Genomic DNA, 25,248 nt, shown 5'->3' with positions numbered 1-25,248 from the left:
ACAGATTTAATATTTGCCACTCCAGTTAAAAATAAAGAGTGAATAGTTCTACATGGATAAATTTATTCTAAAATAGAAATCTGAGACATACCGTTTAGTTTTATTCTGCTAAAAATTGCTCTGTGGACCTTCAGAATCCTATCTGAATTGTTTTGTTACCATTAGGAAGTAATGAGATTATTACCCATTTATTTTGTTTATTATATAAGAATCTTGTTTCTTTTTACCCTTGAATCTCATAATAGGTTCTTTTGATCCCTGTCTCTTGACTGTCTTTGCTTTGAAATGTCTTCAGAAAATGGCTAAGAGAGATAAAAGGAAGTGAAAGGAAAATAAGGACTTTTATTGTTTACTAATTGGTAAAATAGCTTGTGGGGGAGGTATGTGTAACTGTCCCAAATAAAGAGATTTGGATATAATTTAGAAGAGTGTGAATCTTTCTAGCCTGTTAATCTGTAACTAGACTTCTTATGAGAAAAAGTACTCCCAGATAAAGGTAAATTGGGATGGAAAAAAAAGCTGTGAGTGACATTATGTAGTTTGGTAAATGGCTGTAGAGGCCAAGGAATCTATAGCATTTATTAGATTTCCCAGAGCATCTTTCTTCTGCCCAGCACTGGACATACAGAAGGTTTGGAAACCTTTTAAAAACAATGTGAGGAGTGATCCTTCCCACATTTACACTGAACAATTTTGATTGCTCGGAGAGTAGAACTTCTGGAAGGTTGCTGATCTCAGGGTATGTGGGAAGAGGAGGATGGATTTTTTTTTTTAGCTGCTTTCCCAGCTGACTTGCTTTTAAAATCAGTTTTTTTTCCTAGGAGGTGAGGAGAAGGCTAGAGTGGTAGGAGACTCACTCTAATCACTGGATTCCCTTTTCTCATCTCACTGCTAATCCCCCTGATAACCCTTCTCTCCATTCCCAATACCTCTCCTGGCCTGCATATTTTGGAAAGAAGAGGGAGGGGACTCAGTGACTGAGGAATATAGTTCTTGATAGTCTCTGATTATAATAAGAAATGCTCCTGGGTGCTGCTATTTGTTATTTCCTTTAGGGGTCATCTCCAAGGACACACCAGCTTGAGGGAGCATTTGCAAAGGGAGATGCTTAGTATCTTCTGCTTCTCTCATACCTTACCGCATTTATTTAGTGGGCTTTAATTTATCTTCTTTCTTCTCTTTTAAGCAAATCAGTAGTTTGCAGATCCAAGTGACTTCACTTGCACAGTCAGAGAATGACTTGCTGAATTCAAACCAAATGCTGAAGGAAATGGTGGAGAGATTAAAACAAGAATGCCGAAATTTTAGAAGCCAAGCTGAAAAAGCGCAACTAGAAGCTGAAAAGTAGAGTTTGCTCTTTATGTACAAACTATTTTTTCTTTTTTCTATATAACATGTACTTATTTTAGTAATGATTCCAATGTTGATTATATTTTAGAAACTAGTTACAAATACACTTTAATAGTGTACAATGGTCTACTGAGGTAATAATGTACTTTATGTTTTTATAGAATGAACTATACTGACTCTTGAATTGTTTTTAAAAAAATTAAGACATTAAAATTCTGACAGTATAGTATTCTGAAAAACCTCAAAGAAAACTTTTTTTATTCATTGATTAAACCAAAACATTTCTTCAAAAATCTATTCTTCTGAATGCCAGAGAACAGAATGGGTTTTTTGTTTTGTTTTTGATGTGCAAAACTTAATTCCTTGAATTAGAACTATCTTGGATTTTCTTTGAAAAGCTAATTTATTTGTTTTTTTTTTTTTTTTTTTTGGTCTTAAAATTTGTTACTAGTAGACAGTATGGAGTAAAACTGGTAGGGATAAAATGATTGTGGTGATGTTCAAGATCTTATATCCTCTGGAAAAATTTGTTTAGATGTGGTAGAACACTGTACTATTTTGTATTTGCTTTGTCTTTATAACATGTTGGCCTTGTAAGTAAGTTTTTATTTTAATCTACAAAACATTATTCTTTTCAAATTTCTTCTTCTGAAGGCCACCATGCCACATAAAACTGTATTTCTTCAGTTTTTCTATTATTACATATTCAAAGGTTTGTCCATGCTTTTTTATATGGGGTTGAATTTCAAGAAAAGGAAGTAAGCAAGATAAATGTCCATAGCATGTGACATTTCAGTTGATCCAACTTATTTTTCTTTTATTTTGTAAAAAACAGAAACATGTGCTTGGATTTCTCAAGTGTTTGATTGAAATGAGCTTAATAATTCTAATGACAGTATAGCTAGCAAATTTAAGTAATTAATCATTGGTTTCTAAATAATATTCATAGAATTTCATAGAAGAAAATAGCTGAACTAAGGGTCAATGGAATGTGATTTTAGTTCCAGCTAAGATACTTAAAATCTTGTATGACCTTAGGCAAGTAATCTAACTTCTCAGGGTTTGTTATTTTCATTAGTACTGCCTATAGTAAGAATACTAAAAAAATCATATAAAGTATGCAGAATAGCTTTAAAAATATAAGTTGTTATGATGTTATTTTAAGATATCATTTATATGCATTTTACTCTAGTCAGAAGACATACTGCATTAAGATTTGATACCAGGCTTGATTTTCTTAAACCAAATTTATGAGGACAGATATTTGTAGTTTGATGGTTATTATACTTCACATCTGGTTATCAAGTGTTTGTCTTGCCATTAACTAGATGTGAGCCCTTAAGTTCGTTAACTGCTCTAATCCTCAGTTTCCTCATTTATAAAATGGACAGAAGTATAAAGGTGACAGAAATACCTAACTCAGGATTTTTGTAAAGAACACATAGTTTTCTAAGTCCAGTGCCTTATTCATAGGAAGTGCTCAGTAATGGTGGGATTTCCAAACAAGTGGCCATACAGGAGGGCCTGCAGTTGGATAATTAAGAATGTGGTCAGACAGGTAGTGAGTTTGCTTATACTTGTGATAATATCTATTTAATCCTAAGAACTTATTTAACTTCCATGTTTTACATACATTCTTCTGACAGGACATTGGAAGAGAAACAGATACAGTGGTTGGAAGAAAAGCATAAGCTTCATGAGCGTATCACAGACAGAGAAGAAAAGTACAATCAAGCTAAGGAGAAACTGCAGCGAGCTGCAATTGCCCAGAAAAAGGCAAGTGGTTCTTATTAAAGTGATCTCTGGCCAGGCATGGTGGCTCACACCTGTAATCCCAGCACTTTGGGAGGCGGAGGCAGGTGGATCACGAGGTCAGGAGATCATTGAGACCATCCTGGCTAACACAGTGAAACCCCATCTCTACTGAAAAAATACAAAAAAATTAGCCAGGCATAGTGGCGGGCGCCTGTAGCCCCAGCTACTCGGGAGGCTGAGACAGGAGAATGGCATGAACCCGGGAGGCAGAGCTTATAGTGAGCCGAGATCGTGCCACTGCACTCCAGCCTGGGTGACAGAGCAAGACTCTGTCGCAAAAAAAAAAAAAAAAAAAAAAAAAAAGGAAAAAAGGTGATTTCTATGGAGTAAAATATAATTAAATCTTTTTTTTTTTTTTTTTTTTTTTTTTTCTGAGAGTCTGACTCCCATCACCCAGGTTGGATTGCAGTGGTGCAATCTTGGCTCACTGCAACCTCCATCCCCTGGGTTCAAGCGATTCTCATACCTCAGCCTTTCGAGTAGCTGGAATTATAGGCACATGCCACCACACCCGACTAATTTTTGTATTTTTAGTAGAGACAGGGTTTCCCATGTTTGCCAGACTGGTCTCAAACTCCTGACCTCAAGTGATCCTCCCACCTCAGCCTCCCAAAGTGCTGGGATTAAGAGGTGTGAGCTACCGCGTCCATCCTAATAAACTCTTATAGGAGAATAAAGTATATAGTTGAATCTGAGATTTTAGTGATATGTTTAATTTGATATATAAGCATGACATTTTGCTGTCAACCTTGCAGAAATAAATTGGGAAAATCCAAACTGTCCAGCAGGTTTGTTTCTAAATTTTGTATGTAAGTCAGTTGTTTTGAGCTGACATGCATTTTTCCATACAGAAGGTGTTTTTCAGAGTGATAGTTTCCAGGCCATCCCATGGAAGTCATATTTAACACATTCTCCAGTTAAATTATAGTGTGATTAAGCTTGTTTCATTTATACCTAATATCTGTTTTATTGCTTTTGTGGTTAAAAGGCTTTTTTGTTTCCAATTCAGAAATACAAGAGCAAGTATTTCTTTGCTCCAGCAGGAGGAAATGGGACTCCCTTGGTTTCTGAAACTGCCACAGGAGTTCCCACAGCATTGTGATCCTTTTTAAGTTTTACCTTTGCAGGCATACTTTTCTCCAGAACCTAACTTTGTTTTCTTGGAAACAATCCAGGGCATCATGGAAATAATGTATCTAGATGGATCTTCTAAATCAGTGACTTACAACTTTTTTCTATTTCAGCAAACCCAAGAATAATATAACAGGTCCCATTAGTAACCATGACTTATGGTGGTGATTAAGGGAGGGGAAGGACATGGTAATCTTTTCAACAGGATTAGAGGAAGAGGAGGGACATGATAAAGTGTGTGTGTGTGTGTGTGCGTGTTATATGTAAAGTCCCACAAATGATTTGAGTTGTCTTCATTTGATAAATTCCCCTAATAGTAGCATTTGTTGTGGAGAGGAGAGAAGATCTGAGGTGAGAGGAAAATGCTTCTAGGTGCAGGAACCATTATCTTAATATCTGTTTATTGGAAAGGTTAACTGTTTATATTTGGATAAGAGAAAATAACTGTAGATCGTTCAGTTATTCTGAATTTGAAAACCACACAGCAGTTCCTAGACCCCTTTTTATGTAATTGGATATCACTGCCAAATGTTGCTGATGGTTGGAGTGACAACATGAGTAGTCTAAAAGTCATTCCTTCTCTACTTTCTTGGTCTCTGAATATTACTTTTATCTTCTCATAATGCTAGAAGTAGTATTATTGGAAAAACAGCATTTATTATATAGGGATCCCAGTGTTTTATACCCAAATATGCACACTTGTTTGTTTTTCTGTATATGTCACTTTTCTTCCTTTCTGTCGATGTAGGTACTGAAAAGTGTATGAATATTAATGGGATTTCAGAGGATTGTTTTATGACCTATGAACTCAGAAATCCTACTGATTTTTGTTTGCACTGTGTTTGAAGCCTAGAAACATCTGAAGCCGTGTTACAGCAAGAAATTTTAAGAGCTAAATTTTGAGGCTTTAGGAATAAGTATCTTACAGATCAAATTCTAATTATTAAGGTTAGTTTGGGTTGAATTCTTTTGAAGCAAAAGTGACACCCAGTGGTGAGATTATCAGCTAATCATAAGTATACCAGAAGGAGTGGAGGAGGTTATATTTTTAAAAATCTACAAAATATAGCCAGACCCCATCTCTATAAAACATGAAAAAACTGTGCATGGTGGCACATGCTTGTAGTCCCAGCTACTTGGAAGGCTGAGGTGGGAGGATTGCTTGAGCCCAGGAGTTCAAGATTGCAAAGAGCTGTGATGGCACCACTGCCCTCCAGCCTGGATGACACAGCAAGACCCTATCTCAAAAAAAAATAATAATTAAACAAAAAAACCCCAAAACACTACAAAGTAACATTTCATTAGTATTGTGACAGGATGAATTTTTTTTTCTACTGAAATGTCTACCAGATGATGAGTGTGAAGATAGTAGATAGTCATTTTACTTTTTAAAATGTGATCTATGGATTGTGATTTAAGTCATAGTGAAATTGTTAAGGTCAATTCAGTGAATGATTATGACCTAGAATTGTCCTACTATGTGGGACACTGCCCTAGGAGCTTACAAGTTTACATCAATTAAAATAGAAAAACATCATGTGTAACTTAGAAATACAATTAAAAAGTATATAAGTATGTATAATTTTAGGACTGGAAGGGATCTTAGCATTCAAATAGCTTTTACAAGTTAGCAACCTAAAGTAGGAGGTACCCAAGATTACTTAACTAGTAAGAATCAAAAGTTGACTAAAATCTACATGTTTCTGTTCTCAGTCTGGTGCTCTTTCCACTGCGCTGTTAGGCTTTAATTTCCTACTTTCCTTGATTCCAAATACTTTACAACTTTTCGCTTAATATAGCTATGGTCCATATGAGTCGTTTCTTATGTCAGAATAATCACTGTAAATTAATTTAACTCATACCCTTTTCCCATTCAAGTTAAAGATAATGCTTCTATTTGACCATTTTGGCTATCAGATTACATAAATATAATTCATAAGAGTGCAACAGACTTCTTAGATTCTTTAATGCCAAAAGTCATAGCATTTTTTGCCGTAAGATGTAACAAAAGTCACAAATTATGAACCCAGTGCAGAAATAATCCTTTGGAGTTGCTTTCCTGTGAAAAGTTCTTTTTTCCCTGAGGCTGGGTAAGATGGCTCGCTGCCGTCTGTGTTTACTCAGAGCTCCAAGCTCCTGAGCACAGAGATTGTCATTTCTGCTGTTTTTAAGTAGTCTTTGGTGTAAATGATGTTTTGTTGTGTTGATTTGTTTGGAAAAGCTTGAACAGGATCTTGAGTTGGGATGCCCTTCTGTGACTGATACATACAGAGAGAGTGTATTCCCCCCACCCCCATTGAAGAGAGATCTCTTGAAGTGAACACAGTGAGTTGGGTTTTTTTCTTTTTTCTTGAGGAACCTGAAATGACAACTTGTTAATTTTATTCTAAGGTATACGTCTCTGAAATAATTCTTGGTCAGATACTATTATGAATGTTTTCAAAAAAGAGATGAATCATAGTCTTGAAGTTGCAAAATATCTGATTGAATATGTTGTGTGGCCTAGATTACACTATACACTGGGGAGAAATAGAAGCCATGATTACTCCTTGGCTTTGATAACTATATAATCTTGCTGGAGAAATAAGATAACATGCAAGAAACACCTAAATAATCCCACTAGTCACTCCTGGGTGATTTATGTGGACTCTAAAGTTTGAGAACCACTGTGCTAGACAGACAAAAGTCTGAAGACAAGGAGACCAGTTAGGAAGCTGTTATAGTAAACTTAAAGTGAGGTAAGAAGTCTAGAATTGGGGCTTGGAATATAGGAATGAAGGTAAAGCGTGACTGCCAGAGGTATTCCAAAGGAAAAAATAATTGCAGAATATATTGGTAAATAAGAAAGAAAACTATGAAGTATTTTAGCTGTGAGAAGATGTAAGTGGAGTTATGATAATGGATTGAAGAATGTCAGTTGAGTAGAAAGATAAAAAACACATGTCAGATAGGAAATGATGGCAGTGCATCCATGTAGACATGACGTAGACTCTTAAGTAAAGATATTATATAGGTAACTAGAAATAATAGAATGTGAAGTACAGAGATGAATAATTCAAATTAGAGAAATATAATTAGAAACTCAGGATTTTGCAGATCACTGAAGAATACTAAGTTTACTTAGAACGAGGAGCTAGGTGTGGTGGTGAACAGAGGTAGAAGCTATATTGTGATGTTATGGGAACCAAAGGTAAAGAAAGTTATCAAAGATAAATGGTCATTAACATGATCATTGAAAAAAAGTTAATTGGATTTGACTAGAGGGTGGTAAAAGGGGAATCCCAGCCTTAATTCTTATATCTATATTGTTTTAATTGTTCTATTAGTCCTTTGTGTCATATTGTTTATAACACTAAGGCATCGATTTGACTATCCTGTGATTGTGTTGGACCACTCAAGTAAAAATTAGAATCATTCCTTTCCACTAATTTTACCTCTGGACTTTGCATTTCTTTCAGTAGAAGTTATTCTTCCAGTCACTTAGGCTTCAAACCTGTGATTCATCCTGAGGTCTGCCTTATCTCCAAATTTAGTCAGGCACTATATTAGTTTCCTAGGGCTGCTATGACAAATTACCACAAACCTTGTGGCTTAAAACAACAAAAGCTTATTCTCTCACAGTTCTGGAGCCTAGAAATCTACAGTCAGAGTGCCAGCAGGAGCATCCTTCTTCAAAAGGCTCTGGAGGAGGATCTTTTTTCATGCCCCTTGTGTAGCTTCTGGTAGTTGCTGGTAATCCTTGGAGTTCTTGGGTTTTAGACAGGCACATCACTCTGGTCTCTGCCTTGTCTTTACATGATGGTCTCCCTGTGTATCTGTAGCTCTGTGTCCAGATTTCACTCCTGTTATGTAAGGACACCAGTCATAGTGGATTTAGGGCCCACTCGAATCCAATCTAACTTCATCTTAACTTGATTACATTTGTAGACCCTATTTCCAAATAAGGTTACTCTAGGGTGTTTTCCAATACCAGCAATCATTTCTTTGTTCTCTGGATACCAACCAGGTGTCCAAAAATTCAATTCTGAAACTATCTACCTGGAGTTAGAGTCAGATCCCACAAGTTAAACGGCTCAGTCCCACAAGACTGCCCCAACTGCAGACACCAGTTGCAAGTCTGAGTCACCTATATTCTGACTGACTAACTTAGGGGTTCCCATGACCCCCTCCTCCAGTTTGATAATTTGCTAGAATGGCTCACAAAATTCAGGAAAACACTATATTTACCAGTTTATTGTAAAGGATAAAAGTCAGGAATAGCCAAATGGGAGAAATGCATTGGGCAAGGTGTTGGGGGTCGGGGATTGTGGTGCAGAGCCTCCATGCCCTCTCTGTGTGAGCCACCCTCCCAGCAAGTCAATGTGGTCACCAGCCCGGAAGCTCTCAAAATCTCATTGTTGAAGAGTTTCCAGCCCCCTCCCCTTCTTACGGGTCAGGGGAGTGAACCTGAAAGCATTCACCATCTAATCACTTGGTCTTTCTGGTGACCAGCCCCCATCCTTAGGCTATCTAGGGACCTCAACTCTAAGTTACCTCATTAACATCAACTCAGGTATGATTGAAGGGGACTTGCTAAGAATTATACAAAAACCACTCCTATCACTTATACAATTCCATAGGTCTTAGCAGCTTTGTACCAGGATCTGGGTACAAAGACCAAATATATTTCTTCTTATACCACAGTCACATTCTGGGTGCCCATGAATTTTTGGGAGACATTATTCAACCTAAAATAAGAACTCATAAAGCCTATGAATTCTTCCTTTATGATGCCTCTCAAATTTTCCCCCACCCCATATTTCTTTTCATTCCTATTACTAACATCCTTGGTCAGACTGTCTTCCCTACGAGGTTTATCTGTATTCATTTATCCAATTTACTCAACATATCTGTTAAGCATCTATTATGTATCAGGTACTTACTCATTCACTGGAATACAGAAGTAAACAAAGACCCTGCACCATGGAGTTTACATTGTAGTTTGTTAGGAGACATAGAATAAAGAAAGAAATACTATCAGGTGGAGGTGAGTACTAAGAGGAAAATTGACAGGAGTAGGCTGGGTGCGGTGACTCACGCCTGTAATCCCAGCACTTTGGGAGGCCAAGGCGGACAGATCACCTGAGGTCAGGAGTTTGAGACCAGCCTGGCCAACATGGGGAAACCCCATCTCTACTAAAACTACAAAAATTAGCCGGGCATGGTGGCGGGTGCCTGTAATCCCAGCTAGTCAGGGGGCTAAGGCAGGGAGAATTGCTTGAACCCTGGAGGCAGAGGTTGCAGTGAGCGGAGATGGTGGCAGCACATTCCAGCCTGGGCAGCACAGCAAGACTCCATCTCAAAAAAAAAAAAGGGAGAGAAAATTGACAGGAGTAGGGGGTGCTGTTTTATGTAGGTGGTCAGGCAAGGCTTCTCTGGTAAGGTAACATTTGAGCAGAGACTGAAGGAAAGGAGGGAGGATGCCATGTTGTTATATGTAAGGTAAGGGTGTTCCAGAGGGAATAGCAAGTACAAGAGAGGCAGGAATCTGCTTGGTATGTTGAGGGAACACAGGAGGCCCAGGGAGCTAGAATAGAAAGAGGTATAGTAGGAGGCCAAATTTATGCCATGACTTCAGCTTTTATTCTCAGTTAAGGTAGGAACACACTGGAGGTTTTTGAATTGAGAAGTGATATCTGAATTACATTTTTGAAGAATCTCTGGCTGTTGTGTAGAGGGGCAGAATAGGAGTCAGGGAAACCATGTTTTAGTTGTCCAGGTTACAGATCAGCACTAAAAAAGATGAGTTTAGAACTAAAAAAATACAATAACAATAATTAACTCAATGGATAGATTTAATAGCAAACAACATCACCATCATCAAGAGATGAGCACAAATCAGTGACAGAGACAGAAGATGTACAGTGAGGAAAATAGAAATGCCAAGAGTTGGTTTTAAAAAGATTACGAAATTGATAAAGCCTTGGCAAGACTGATTGTCCTCAGACTCCCCACAAAGTAGATGAGATGAGATTAGAGCCACAAATGAACAATGTAGTGAATGAAAAAAGGGATATCTATCTATAGATATTAACTATCTGCATATAGATATTAAAACAAAAGGAATAGTATAAAAACTATTATGCTAATTAATCATGCAATTTAGAATAAATGAATACATTTCTTTAAGAACATCTTAAACCTAATACAAGAAGAATTAGGTCATTTGGATAGTCCTGTATCTATTAATGAAATGAAATCTTTAGTTAAAAACCTTCCACAAAGAAATGCCTCATTTGGCTTCACTGGTAAATTATTCCAAATACTTAAGGAAGAATTAATACTAATCTTAACGCAAACTCTTCCAGATGATAGAAAAGGAGGAAACACATCTCCACTTATGAGATTAGAACCTGATAGAATCAATATAAGAAAAATTGCATTATAAACATGTAAAAATCTTAAATATTAGCAAACTGAATTTAGTGATATAGAAAAATGATAATATAGCATGAGCATTTAGGTTTTATTCTGGGAATATAGGTGGCTTAACATGCAAAATTGTTCAGTGTAATTCAACACCCTAACAGAACAAAGAAGGAAAACTATTGTGATCTCTAGTGTGAAACATAATTTGACAACATTCAGTACCCATTCATGATAAAAACTTTTGCCAAACTGGGAACAGAAGGGAATTTTCAATCTTATAAATGGTATCTATAAAAATTCTGCAGCTAACATCATACTTACTGATTAAAAATATTGACTGCTTCCCCTTACTTACCCAAGGTCAGGAACAGATGTCTACTATCACCATTTTGTTTAATATTTTATCGGAGGTTCTAGTTAGTGTAATAAGGCAAGAAAAAGAAATGGAGGGGGAGGCTGGTCAAGATGGCCAACTAGAAGCAGCTGGTGTGTGCCACTTTCATGGAGAGAAATAGAAGGAGTAAGTAAATACAGCACCTTCAACTGAAGCATCCAGGTACACGCATTGGGATTCATCAAGAAAACAACTTGACCCAGAAAGAATGGAGAAGAGCAATCAGGACAGTCATCCACTTGGGAGTGACACAGAGCCAGAGGAGCCTCCTCTTCCCAGGGAAGTGGTGAGTGAGTGAGTGACCCCAGCGACCCACGCTTCTCCCTTGGATCTTTGCAACCCACAGGTCAGGAGATCCCCTTGTGAGCCCACTCCACCAGGGTCTGCAGCCTGTTACACAGAATTATGTGGAGTCTCAGCAATGCAGCCGCTCAGATACACGTAGAGCCCTGGGAGCTTTAGATACCCAGGTTTCCCATCAAAAGCAACTGCAACTCCAGCCAAGCAGGACGTTAGACCCCTGTACATACCCCTAGGAAAGAGGCTGTATACAGGGGATAGAGCAGTGACAGTCTGCAGGCCCCACTACCATGGCACCTTGCAGGATAAGACCCACTGGCTTGGAACTCTAGCCAGCCACTGGTAGCAGTGTTACACCTCTCTGAGATGGAGCTCCCAGAGGGAGGGGTGGGCTGCCATCTTTGCTGTTTTGTAGCCTTAGCTATTGCCTTCATTGCAGCCACCCTATGGAAAAGCATCCAGACTGCTTTTTTATGCAGGTCCCAGACCCTGCTTTTCAATGGGTGGGGGACCTCCCGACCAGGGTCACTAGTCACCCTTGTTGGTGTTTTCCAGCTGGCAGTGGTTCCAAGCCACCCTGGGACAGAGTTCCCAGGGGGAGGGATGGGGCTGTCATCTTTGATGTTTCACATTCTTAGCCATTGTTGCCTTTGGGCTCTAGGGAGTCTGAGTTGGTTAGGGACTGGAGTGATCCCCTGGTACAGAGCAGCAGCTCTAAGGAGAAGTGGTCAGGCTGCTTCCTCATGTGGCTCCTGGATCTCATTTCTCCTCACTGGGTGGGATCTCCCGACTGAGGTCTACAACCATACCCCAACCAGTGTTTTCTGGCCAGCAGCAGTTTCAAACCTCCCTGGAATGGCTCTCCCAGAGAGAGGGGCAGGGTGCCAGCTTTGCTGTTTTGCAGCCTTATCTCTTTGCCTTTGGGATTTGGAGAGTCTGAAGCAACTGTTCTCGAGGTACCCCCTCACAGCACAACTGCTCTATGAAAAAGTGGCCAGACTGCTTTTTTACTTGAATCCCTAATCCCATTCCTCCTCAGTGGACAGGACCTTTTGACCAGGGTTTCCAGCCACCTGCACCAGTGTTTTTTGGCTAGCAACAGTTTCAAACCTCCCTGGAACAGAGCTCCCAAAGAGAGGGGTGGACCACCACTTCTGCTGTTTAGCAGCCTTAGCTGTTGTCTTCAGGCTTTAGAGAGTCTGAGGTGATTAGCGGCTGGAGTGGACCCCTAGCAAAGCATGGCTACCCTATGGAAAAAGCTAGACGGCTTTTGTATGTGGGTCCCTGATCCTGTTACTCCTCACTAGGTAGGATCTCCCAACCGAGGTCTCTAGCCACCTCCTGTTAGTGTGTTCTGCCAGCAACAGGTCCGTGCCTCCCTGGGACAGAGTTCCCAGAGAGAAGGCAGTCCTCCATCTTTGCTGTTTCACAGACTTCCTTGTTGATATCTTCAGGTACTGGAAAATTTAAGATGAAAAGGGATTGGAGCGGACCCCCAGCATACTGTAGCAGCCCTATGGAAAAGTGGCCAGACTGTTATTTGGGTCCTTGATTCTATATCTCCTCACTGAGCACGTCCTCCCAACCTGAATCTCCAGCCATCCCCACCAGGGCCATCCAGCCAGTAGCAGCTCTGTTACTGTCTGGGACAGAGCTCCTAGTGGGAGGGATGGGTTGCCATCTTTGCTGTCTTGTAGCCCTCACTCTTACTGTCTCCAGGTTCTGGAGAGTCTGTGGGGACCAGGGGCTGGTACGGATGCCCAACACAAAGCACCTACCTCAGAAAAGTGGCCAGACTGTTCTCTATGCAAGTCCCAGTCCTCACTTCTCCTCCCTGGGCAGGGTCACCCAACCTGGAACTGTAGCACAACTACCCTGAGCTTGCCTGACCACTTCAATCAGAGGCAGCCCAGCAGTTAAAGGAACACCCCCACGCAGAGATGGAACCATCAGACAGAAGGAATCAACGGAAGAACTCTAGCAACACAGATGGTCGGAGTGTCAAATGGCCACTAGTTCTCCAACAAGGGTTCTTAACCAGGCTGAGTTGGCTGAAGTGACACAAATAGAATTCAGAATATGAATAGGCATGAAGATAATCAAGATTCAGGAGAATGGCAAAACCCAATCCAAGGAATCTAAGAATCACAATAAAACGATACAGGCACTGACAGATGAAATAGCCAGTATAAAAAAGAACCTAACTGATCTGATAGAGCTGAAAAACACAAGAATGTCACAATGCAATCACAAGTATTAACAGCAGAAGAGAGAGACCAAGCTGAATAATTTCAGAACTTGAATACTGGCTCTTTGGAGTAAGACAGTCAGACAAAAATAAAAAAGAAGAATAGAAAAGAATGAACAAAACCTCCAAGAAATATGAGATTATGTAAAGAGACCAAATCTACAAATCACTGGCATCCCTGAAAGGGTTGGGGAGAAAGCAAACAACTTAGGAAACATATTTCAGGATATTGTCCAAGAAAACTTCCTCAGCCTCACTAGAGAGACCAACAGGAACTATAGAGAACAAAATTCTACACAGGAAGATAATCCCCAAGACACATAATCATCAGATTTTCCAAGGTCAAAATGAAAGAATATTAAAGGCACTTGGAGAAAAAGGGCAGGTCACCTACAAAGGAAACCCCCTCAGGATAACAGCTGACTTCTCAGCAGGAGCCCTTCAAGCCAGGAGAGACTGGGGACCTATAGTCAACATTCTTAAAAAAATCTTCAACCAAGAATTTCATATCCAGCCAAACTAACCTTCCTCGACAAAGGAGAAATAAGATCCTTTTTAGATAAGCAAATACTGAGGGAGTTTTAGATAAGCAAATGCTTGTTAAATGGAGACCCATCTCACAAGAGATCTTGACAGGAACACTAAATATAGAAAGATGGTTACCATGATTCTGCTGAGAGAGAGCATTAAAAAAAAAAGATGGTTACCAGCCAATACAGAAACACACTTAAGTACACAGATGAGCCACACTATAAAGCAACCACACAAGCCAGCCTAATAACCAGCTAACAACACAATGACAGGATCAAATCCACACATATTAATACTGACCTTGAATATAAATGGGCTAAGTGCCCCCATTTAAAAGGCACAGAGTGGCAAGCTGGATAAAAAAGCAAGACCCAGTGATATGCTGTCTTCAAGAGACCCATCTTATATGCAATGACACCCATAGGCTCAAAATAAATGGATGGAGGAACATCTGCCAAGCAAATGGAAATCAGAAAAATGCCAGGGTTGCAATCCTAGTTTCAGACAAAACATTTTAAACCAACAAAAATCAAAAAAGACACGGGTTTACATAATGGTAAAGGGTTCAATTCAATAAGAAGACGTAACTATCCTAAATATATATGCACCCAACATAGGAGCACCCGGATTCATAAAGCAAGTTCTTAGAGACCTACAAAGAGATTTATACTCCCACACAATAACAGTGGGAGACTTCCACATTCCACTGACAGTATTAAATCCTTGAGGAAGAAAGTTAACAAAGATATTCAGGACGTGAACTTAACATTGGACCAGATAGATCTGATAGACCTCTACAGAACTCTACATCCAAAAACAACAGGAATATACATTCTTCTCATTGCTGCATGGCACATACTCTGAAATTGACCACACAATCAGACATAAAACAATCCTCAGCAAATGCAAAAGAACTGAAATACCAAACACACAGCACAATAAAAATTGAAATCAAGACTAAAAATATAATTGCTCAAAACCATTTACATGGAAGTTAACCTGCTCCTGAATGACTTTTGAGTAAAGAATGAAATTAAGGCAGAAATCGAGAAGTTATTTGAAACTAAGAGAAAAAAGATACAACATACCAGAATCTCTGGGACACAGCTAAGGCAATGTTATGAGGGAAATTTATAGCACCAAATGCCCACATCAAACAGTTAAAAAAGATATCAGCAACCTAGCAGCACAACTAAAACAATGAGAGGACCAAGAGAAAACCAACCCAAAGCTAGCATTAGAGCTGAACAGAAGGAGATCAAAACATGAACAGCCATTCAAAAGATTAACTAATACGGGAGTTGCGTTTTTGAAAAAATTGTTAGGCCACTAGTTAGCCTAATGAAGAAAAATGAGAAGATCCAAATAAACACAATTAGAAATGACAGAGGGGATGTTACCACTGACCCCACAGAAATACAAACAACCGTCACAGACAACTATAAACACCTTTCTGCATACAAACTAACAAAGCTAGAAGAGACAGATAAATTTCTGGACACATACACCTTCCCAAGATAGAACCAGGAAGAAGTTGATTTCCTGTACAGACCAATAATGAGTTCTGAAATTGAGGCAGTAGTAAATACCTGCCAACCAAAAAAAGCCCAGGGCCAGATGGATTCACAGCCACATGCTACCAAATGTTCAAAGAAGAGCTGGTACTGCTTCTCCTGAAACTGTTAACAAAAAATAGAGGAGCAGGAAATCCTTCCCAAATCATTCTGTGAAGCCAGCATTGTCCTGATAACAAAACCTGGCAGAGACACAACAATGAAAACTTTAGGCCAATATCTTTGACGAATATTGATGCAGAAATCCTTAACAAAATGCTTACAAACCGAATCCAGTAGCACATCAAAAACCTAATCTACCATGATTATGTAGGTTTTATCTTTGGGATGCAAGGTTGATTCAACATGTGCAAATCAATAAATGTGATTCATCACATAAACAGGACTAAAGACAAAAACCACATGGTTATCTCAATAGATGTAGAAAAGGCTTTTGATAAAATTCACCATCCCTTTCTATTAAAAACTCAATAAACTAAGTATTGAAGGAACATACTACAAAATGTGAGAGCCATCTGTGACAAACCCACAGCTAACATCATACTGAATGGGCAAAATATGGAAGCATTCTCTTTGAAAACCAGCACAAGACAATTATACCCTCTCTCACCACTCCCATTCAACATAGTATTAAAAGTCCTGGCCAGAGTAGTTAGGCAAGAGAAAGAAAGAAATAAAGGGCATCCAAGTAGGAGGAGAGGAAGTGAAACTATTCATGTTTGCAGTCGACATGGTTTTATGTTTAGGAAACCCCCATAGTCTCAATCCAAAAAGCTCCTTCAGCTGATAACTTTAGCAAAGTTTCAAGATACAAACTCAATGTACAAAAATCACTAGCATTCCTGTACACCAACAGCCAAGCTGAGAGCCAAATCAGGAATGCAATCCCATTCACAATTGCACAAAATAAAATACCTAGGAATACAGCTAAATGTGGGTGAATGATCTCTACAATGATAATTATAAAACACTGCTTAGACAAATCAGAGATGATACAAATAAATGGCAAAACTTTCCATGCTCATGGATAGGAAGAATCAATATCATTAAAATGGCCATACTGTCAAAAGCAATTTATTGATTCAGTGCTATTTCTATCACACTACCAATGGCATTCTTCATGGAACTAGAAAAAAACTTTTAAAATTCATGTGGAACCAAAAAAGAGTCCAAATAGCCACAGCAATCCTATGCCAAACAACAACAACAAAAAACGTGGAGTCATCATGCTACCTGACTTAAAACTATACTATAGAGCAACAATAACCAAAACAGCATGATATTGATACAAAAACAAACACATAAATCAATGGAACAGAATAGAGTAACCAGAATTAAGGCCTCACAGCTACAATCATCTGATCTTCAACAAAGCTGACAAAAACAAGCAATGGGAAAAAGGACACCCCATTCATTAAATGGTGCTGGGATAAACAGCTAGCCATATGCAGAAGATTGAAACTAGACCTCTTCCTTACACCATATGCAAAAGTCAACTCAAGAAGGATTAAAGACTTAAATGTAAAATCCAAAACTATAAAAACACTGGAGGACAACCTAGGCAATACCATTCAGGACATAGGAACTGGCAAAGATTTCATGATGAAGATGCCAAAAGCAATCACGACAAAAGCAAAAGTTGATAAATGGGTTCTAATTAAACTTAAGAGCTTCTGCACAGCAAAAGAAACTGTCAACAGAGTAGACAGATAACCTACAGAATGGGAGAAGATATTTAGAAGCTATGCATCTGCATCTGACAAAGGTCTATCTAGCATCTATAAAGAACTTAAATTTACAGGATAAAAACAACCCCATCAAAAGTGGGCAAAGGAAATGAACAGATCATTTTCAAAAGACATACATGTGACCAACAAGCATATGAAATAAAGCTCAATGTCACTGATCATTAGAGAAATGCAAATCAAAACCACAATGAGATACCATCTTACACCAGTCAGAATGGCTATTAAAAAATAAAAAAATAGCAGATTCTGGCGAGGTTGTGGAGAAAAGGGAATACTTTGATACACTGTTGGTGGGAGTGTAAATTAGTTCAACCATTGTGGAAAGCAGTGTGGTAATTCCTCAAAGAGCTAGAAACAACTACCATTGGACCCAGCAATCCCATTACTGGGTAAATATACTCAAAGGAATATAAATCTTTCTGCCATAAAGACACATGCATATGTTCATTGCAACACTATTCACAATAGCAAAGACATGGAATCAACCTAAATGCCCATCAATGGAAGATTGGATAAAGAAAATGCGGTATATATACACCATGGAATACTATATAGCCATAAAAAAGAATGAGATAATGTCCTTTGCCAGGTACATGGATGGAGCAAGAGGCCATTATCCTTAGCAAACTAACACAAAAAAGGAAAACCGAATACTGCATGTTTTCATTGTCATAAGTGGGAGCTAAATGATGAGAACACATGGACACAAAGGGGAGCAACAGATACTGGGGCCTACTTGAGACTGGAGCATGGGAGGAAGGAGAGGATCAGAAAAAATAACTTGGGTACTAGGCTTAGTACCTGGGTGATGAAATAATCTATTTACCTATAAAACAAACCTGCACATGTACCTCTGAGCCTAAAAAAAGTTTTAAGAATAAAGAAATGGACATAAAGAGTAGACAGGAATTTAAAATTATTCACAGATGTCACTGTGCATGCATAAAAGTCAAACCTATCAAACTATTAAAATTAATATGAATTTTTAAAATTTCTAAGTACGAAGTCAAGTAACAAATACTAGTTATTTTTCTTTACACACACAATTAGAAAATATTTAAATGCCATTTACAATAGCATAAAAATACCTAAAATACCTAGGAACAAATCTAGTGAAAGATGTTTATGACTTCTACACTGAAATACAAATACTGCTAAGAAAAATGGAAAAATGCCTAAAGGGAAAACTGTACCATGTTCATGACTTGGAAGATTCAATATTAAGGTGTCAGTTCTTCCCAAATTTATCCATAAGTTGAATGCAGTTCTAATCAAAATCTCAGCAGGTTTCTTTGTAGAAATTAGAAAGTAGATTCTAAAATTCATCTGAAAGTACAAAGGACTAGAATACCCAAAGCAATCTTGAAGAACAATAAAACTAGAGGACTTAAAACTACCAGGTATCAACACTAAATATAAGCTACAGTAATTCAGTGTGGTATTGGCATAAGGATAAACAGGCAAATGGAACAGTATAGAGTCCAGAAATAGGTTTACACTAAAGGTACCACTGCATTTCGATAAAGGATGTTCCTTCAAATAGTAGTGAGTCAATAGATTAAACTCAGCCTAACCTCACAACATAGATAAAAATGAACCATACACCTAAGTGTGATAGGTAAAAAAAAAAAATAAAGCTTCTAGATGAAAACTTGGGAGAAAATTTTAGGATCTTGGGATAATAAAGATAAGCAGGATGCAAAAAGTTCCTACTATAAAATACATGATTGATGTAATTGATTTTATTTAAATTAAAATCTTTTTATTAAGGGATACTCTTAAGCAAAAGAAAATGACACCACAGGCTGGAGAAGGTCAATCTGCAATACATATATATCTGACATACGATTCATATCTTGAATATATAAAGAACTACAAATCAGTAGGAATCAGGTTACTCAAAAGTTTTAATGGACAAAAGACTAGGATGGACACGTCACAAAGAAGGGATATCCAGATGACTAACATGCATAAAAAAAGATGCTCAATACCTTTAGCTATCAGGAAAATGTAAATTAAAACTACAGTGAGATACTGTATTTCACCAAAACAGGATGCAAAAGCTAAAAGACCGACCATACCAAGTACTGGCAAAAATGTAGAACAGCTAGAACTCTCACATATTGCTGGTGGAAATGTAATTGGTAAAACTGCTTTAGAAAACTGGCAGTATCTACTAAAGCTAAAACATGTATACACTATGACCCATTCATAGGTATATACTGAAGAGAATGAGGTACTTAATCTGCGAAAAACATGTTTAGGAATGTTCGTAAAATATTTATGATATCCCCAGACTGGAAAGAATTTAAATTTTCATTAACAGGAAAATGTATAAAATGTGGTATATTTGTACAATGAATGACAACATTGCAATGAAAAAGAAGTACTGTGACAATACATAACCATGGCTTAGTCATATAGATAAAATGTTGAGAAAAAAGTCCAGATACAAAAGAGCATAAATTTATGATTTCTTTCATATGAATGGGTGGATGGATAGACAGATGGACTCCTTAACTGCCTATAAATTCATAAATAAATACTTATGGTGATAAAAACCAGAAGAGTGGTTCCTTTGCCAGGGTAGACAGGAGCATAAGGAAGCCTTCTGAGATGTTGGAGGATGTGGGACAATCAAAGCATGAGAATGAATGCTCGTAGCAGAGTTATTTGTAATAGTCCCAACTGGAAATAATGCAGATAACCCTTAACGGTGTACTGAGTGAATATACTAGGTTATGCAATAATCGTAAGTGGAATATAATATGTGGGAATGAATGAAGTATATCTGTAAGTAACATAAATCTCACTAACAATGTTGAGTGAAATAAAGTCATTAATAAAAGACTACATACTATGATTGTATGTATATGAGGTTCAAAAATAGGCAAAAGTAAACTATAGTTTTGGAAGTAAATTAGTTGGTTACCCTTTCAGAGGATGACAGGGCTAGTGATTGGAAGGGGGAAAGGTAGGGGCCCTTCTGGCATGGCAGTGCTCTTGACCTACAAGGAAATCATGCCAGCATTTGTTTTGTGGTTTTTCTTTGAGCTTTACGTTTCTATTCTATGCATTTTGCTGTAAGATTATACTTCAGTTAAAAAAGAGTTAGAAAATACCTAAAAGGTTTGTAGCGACTAAATGAGTTTTAACATTTTAGGTGTTTTTCTATTAAAAAACAAAAGGCCTGTGTATAAAAACTGAAAAAAAATACTACTTTTTTCCATACACTCCTTTTGCATTTTACCTGGACTTTTCCGTATTGTTTAATGAAACCATACAAGATTTACTTAGGAATTTCTCCCTTTGTATATTGTAAAGTTTAAATTTTTTCCTTTTAAGATTTAGAAAGGCAACTTTTAAACAGATGCATCCATATTTATCTTAGCTTTCTGATCCTTCAGTTTTATTAATTTGGTAGTACTTTATAACTTACAAACGTGCTTGTAATTTTGAATTTTACTTCAGTTCTTTTCTTTTCCTTTTTTGAGACAGAGTCTTGCTTTTTTGCCAGGCTGGAGTGCAGTGGTGCAATCTCGGCTCACTGCAACCTCCGCCTCCCAGGTTCAAGTGATTCTCCTGCCTCAGCCTCCTGAGTAGCTGGAACTACAGGCACCCGCCACCACGCCCAGCTAATTTTTATATTTTTAGTAGAGATGGGGTTTTACCATGTTGGTCAGGATGGTCTCAATCTCTTGACCTTGTGATCTGTCCGCCTCGGCCTCCCAAAGTGCTGGGATTATAGGCGTGAGCCACTGTGCCTGGCTCCCCACCCTTTTTTTTTTTTTTTTTTTTTAATGGGTTCTTGATCTGTTGTCCAGGGTGGAGTGGCACAGTCATAGCTAACTGTAGCCTTGAACTCCTAGGCTTAATCCATCCTCCTGCCTCAGCCTCCCAAAGCACTGGGATTACAGGCATGAGCCACTGTACCTGGCTCAGTTCTCTTAAACACATGCTATCTTCTGGAACAATGGAGAGCTCATTATTTCTTACCAGATGTACAGGCAGACTCAGTAGTAAAATTTGACTCCTTCCCTTTGTAGATTTTTTTTTTGCAGCAATTATTGATAACAGTTTTTTTGTTTGGCATTCATAATTAATTGTCACATTGAGAATATTAGATAGATTTGTGGTTTATTATCTTTGCAATTTTCAGTAAGAGCCATGTCTACTAACCTTTGTTTCTAGTATTCACTGAAAACATTCATATCTAAACACAGTTTTTGGTGAGTAAAATATTTTCTATATAGTTTTGTTCAAATAAGAGATTATGTATTAACATACTTGTTCATATTTCTCTTTTTAGAGAAAATCTCTTCATGAAAACAAATTGAAAAGACTACAAGAGAAAGTAGAAGTCTTGGAGGCAAAGAAAGAAGAATTGGAAACAGAAAATCAGGTCTTAAATAGGTAATGTGTTTGTATGTGTATCTTCCCCATGTGGTTATTTTGATGTCATAGAACTTTGTCTCTAAGTATAACGTACCTTCTTTTCTTTTAAAATATACATTTTAAAGATTTCTAAAACAGCTTGATAACTCCTAATGTACTATCCTTTTTTTACCCCCTAACTGAATGTTTCTTTAAACCAAAAGGTCTCTGTCACATACCAGGTGTTTGCCTTATGATTGGGACTAACAGAAAATGTCACTGGCTTTGGTAGCAAGGAGTGGTGTTAGTTGTTGCTGCTGTACAAGACAGTTGTAGCTATTGCATAGTTCTGAAAATTGTGCCTACAACTTTGAATCAAAGGTCAGTTTTGGTTTCCTGGTGTGGAGATTTTATTGAGCTGTAGTTTCGGGTTTTGCAGTCACATTCAAGCACATCTGATAATCAGGATCATCAGCATTTTTAAAGCAGAGATTTGTCATATTAAGTTGTTGGTAGTGGCATTATATGACACATTTGATTCAAGTTAAGAAAAATCTTTTTAATTTAGTGAATTAGTGGTAGCCTTCAGCGCCTTGGCTATTCAAGTATAGATTTTTCTGTAATGGAAACTGCCTATAATATCATGCAGTGACGTTTTATGATGTGCACTGGTGTTCTTGGGTGCAATTATTACCAACAGGTGAACAATTGTTTTTTAAAGAACATTCTAGAAGTTTCTAGACTGTAGAATTAGTGCCAGCCTTACAATACTCTATTCCAAAGTAGGAGGCCGCCTTTAGTTTATTAATTTGGTAGTAATTTGTAAATTACAAACATGCTTGTAATTTTGAATTTTGTTTCAATTCTTTTTTTTTTTAAACATGGGGTCTTCGTCTATGGTTCAGGGTGGAGTGCAGTGGCACGATCATAGCTAACTGTAGCCTCGAACCCCTAGGCTTAATCTATTCTCCTGCCTCAGCCTCCCAAAGCACTGGGATTACAAGCATGAGCCACCATTCCTGGCTCAGTCCTTCTAAAACAGAATTCAACTTACTTCCTCTTCCATAAACATTAATATTGAAATGTTAGCAATTCAAGATTGGCCAGTTGTGGTGCAGATCATCTAGAATTTTGAGTGATTTTGAAATTATATTTGATTACTGGATGTCGTGTCCAAAAAGATGATGATCTGTGAAGGCCTGGAAAGTTAGCCTTTTTCTCCATGTCATTTTTTCCTAAAGTTGTGTAGCTTCACCTTTGTGATTACCTTTTATAATAGGAAAAACCAGTGTTTTTCCTATTCTCACACAGTCAACACAACATTTCTGACACCAGATGTTTGGGGTTTTTTCCTATACATGGAGTAATCAGTTTTCCAGTGGACACGAGCTAGGTGTCCTGTAATTCAGGTCTGATCCTGTCTACCTGGATTTAGCATCAGATCCCACAGGTAGAGGGCTCAGTCCCACAAGACTGCCCCCCACTTCAGAATGCAGCCATAAGCCCCAAGTTGTAACCCGTGCTTCTGACTGGCTAAAAATGGCCATAAATTGGGGTTCCCATGACCTGCTCATCATGTTCAGTTAATTTGCTAGAGCAGCTTACAGAACTCAGGGAAACTTATGTTAACCAGCTTACTAGAAAGGATATTACAAAATATATAGATGAGCAGTCAGATGAAAGAGATACATAGGAAAAGTTATGAGGAAGGGGGTGTGGAGTTTCCATGCCCTCTCTGGGCATGCCTCCCTGCAGACACCTGCACATGTTCAGCAACCCAGAAGCTCTCTGACCCCATGCTTTTGGGTTTTTATGGAGGCTTCATTACATAGGCATGATTGATTACATCATTGGCCATTGGTGATCAACTCAACCTTTAGTCCTTTACCTTCCCAGATGTCATGGGGTGGGGTTGGAGAGTGGGGCTGAAAGTTCCAACCCTCTAATCATGCCTCAGTCTTTCTGGTGACCTGCCCCATCCTGAAGCTATTCAGGGGCCCCCAGCCACCAGTTATCTTATTAATATACAAAAGATACTCTTATCACTTCAGAGTTTCCCAGAGTTTTAGGAGCTGTGTGCCAGGAACCAAGGGCAAAGACCAAATATATATTTCTTACTAAAATATTACACTGACATTTTGAAAATTAGATTGAACTATGAAAATCTCTATATTTGACCATATTTCACCTATTTAAAAATGGCAATTTTGTAAGCTTCAATCCAGCATTTTCTTTACACTTGACCCTTGACAACATGGGCTTGAACTGCATGGGTCTACTTATATACAGATTTTTATTCGGGCAAACATGGATAGAAAATATAGTATTCACAGGATGTGAAACCCACCAGTTCAGAGAACCAACTTTTCCATTATGAGGGTTCTGCAGGGCTGACTGCAGGACTTGTATGCACAGGCTTTGATATATGAGGGATGTCCTGGAACTAATCCCATGTGTATACTGAGGGATGAACTGTATTTTTATTTGATTCTTTCTGTAAGATAAGGCACTCTTTTGGTTTAGAGTCTCCCTTTAGTTTCAGGATTCATGAATGGGGGTGAGTAGGAGGGTAGGAGTGAGTACCAAAGTATCAAAAGATTTTAGATCTTTAATTAGCAAATAAAACTTTATAATGAGTTGATAGTCTGCAATGCTAATGATTGCTAATGATTAAGATGTTATGTCATGTTTCTGTTTATCTTTCTAGGTAAACAGATTTTTTATCTATATATTATATATAGATCTCATAATTTAGAAATTCCAGTTTAAAATTATATTCTGTGAATCATACTGTGCTTCAATAGGGTATAACCATGTTAAAGAAACATTTCTTTTTCTTTTTAAGACAAAATGTTCCTTTTGAAGACTATACAAGGCTTCAAAAAAGACTAAAAGATATACAGAGAAGACATAATGAATTTCGAAGTCTAATTTTGGTTCCTAACATGCCTCCAACAGCATCTATCAATCCTGTTAGCTTTCAGTCATCAGCCATGGTTCCAAGCATGGAACTACCATTTCCTCCTCATATGCAGGTATGAGCATTTATTTTAGGGGGAAAAAAAAAGTCGTACATTTTTGTAGGTTTTTATGTTTAAATATGGTGATAAAACTCAAATTATAACTTTGGTCAGTGCTCAAAATTCACCACAAAAATGGCATAAACATTTAAAACTACTTTTAACTTCTTCCCTTTCATTTAGCATAGAAATTTGCTGAATTCAGTTTGAATCATGATCCTTTAGTGTTGGTGCTGAGAGTGAAATCTCTTACTGGACGATAGAAAAGAGGAAACTTGATTGAGTCATTGAGTAACCTAGAGTTTGTAGCTTATTCATAATGTTAATAGTAATTACTACTGAGAATTTACTAACG

General features: G+C 37.9%; 1 protein-coding gene across 29 annotated transcripts in view; it reads left to right on the top strand.

The window, feature by feature from the left end:
• Positions 1-25,248, top strand: part of CEP83 (centrosomal protein 83) — a 194,793-nt gene that overhangs the window by 125,629 nt on the left and 43,916 nt on the right. For 26 of the 29 annotated variants that reach the window (XR_007063082.1, XR_007063081.1, XR_007063083.1 and 23 more), the window contains 4 exons: positions 1,187-1,344; positions 2,997-3,126; positions 21,809-21,912; positions 24,719-24,908. Coding sequence is in view for 22 of the 29 variants with exons in the window: in XM_047428923.1 (XP_047284879.1) it covers positions 1,187-1,344; positions 2,997-3,126; positions 21,809-21,912; positions 24,719-24,908 (582 nt within the window). In the remaining 7 variants the exon portion in view is untranslated. Of the gene's footprint in view, positions 1-1,186; positions 1,363-2,996; positions 3,127-21,808; positions 21,913-22,097; positions 22,255-24,718; positions 24,909-25,248 lie in introns of those variants that run through there. The other 3 variants (XR_007063084.1, NR_160432.1, XM_047428928.1) reach the window with 3 other exon arrangements.

The sequence above is a fragment of the Homo sapiens genome, chromosome 12, assembly GCF_000001405.40.
Source record: "Homo sapiens chromosome 12, GRCh38.p14 Primary Assembly".
NCBI classification, from domain to species: Eukaryota; Metazoa; Chordata; class Mammalia; order Primates; family Hominidae; genus Homo; species Homo sapiens.
Note: the sequence above shows the minus strand (reverse complement) of the source record. Positions and strands in the feature narration are given on the sequence as shown.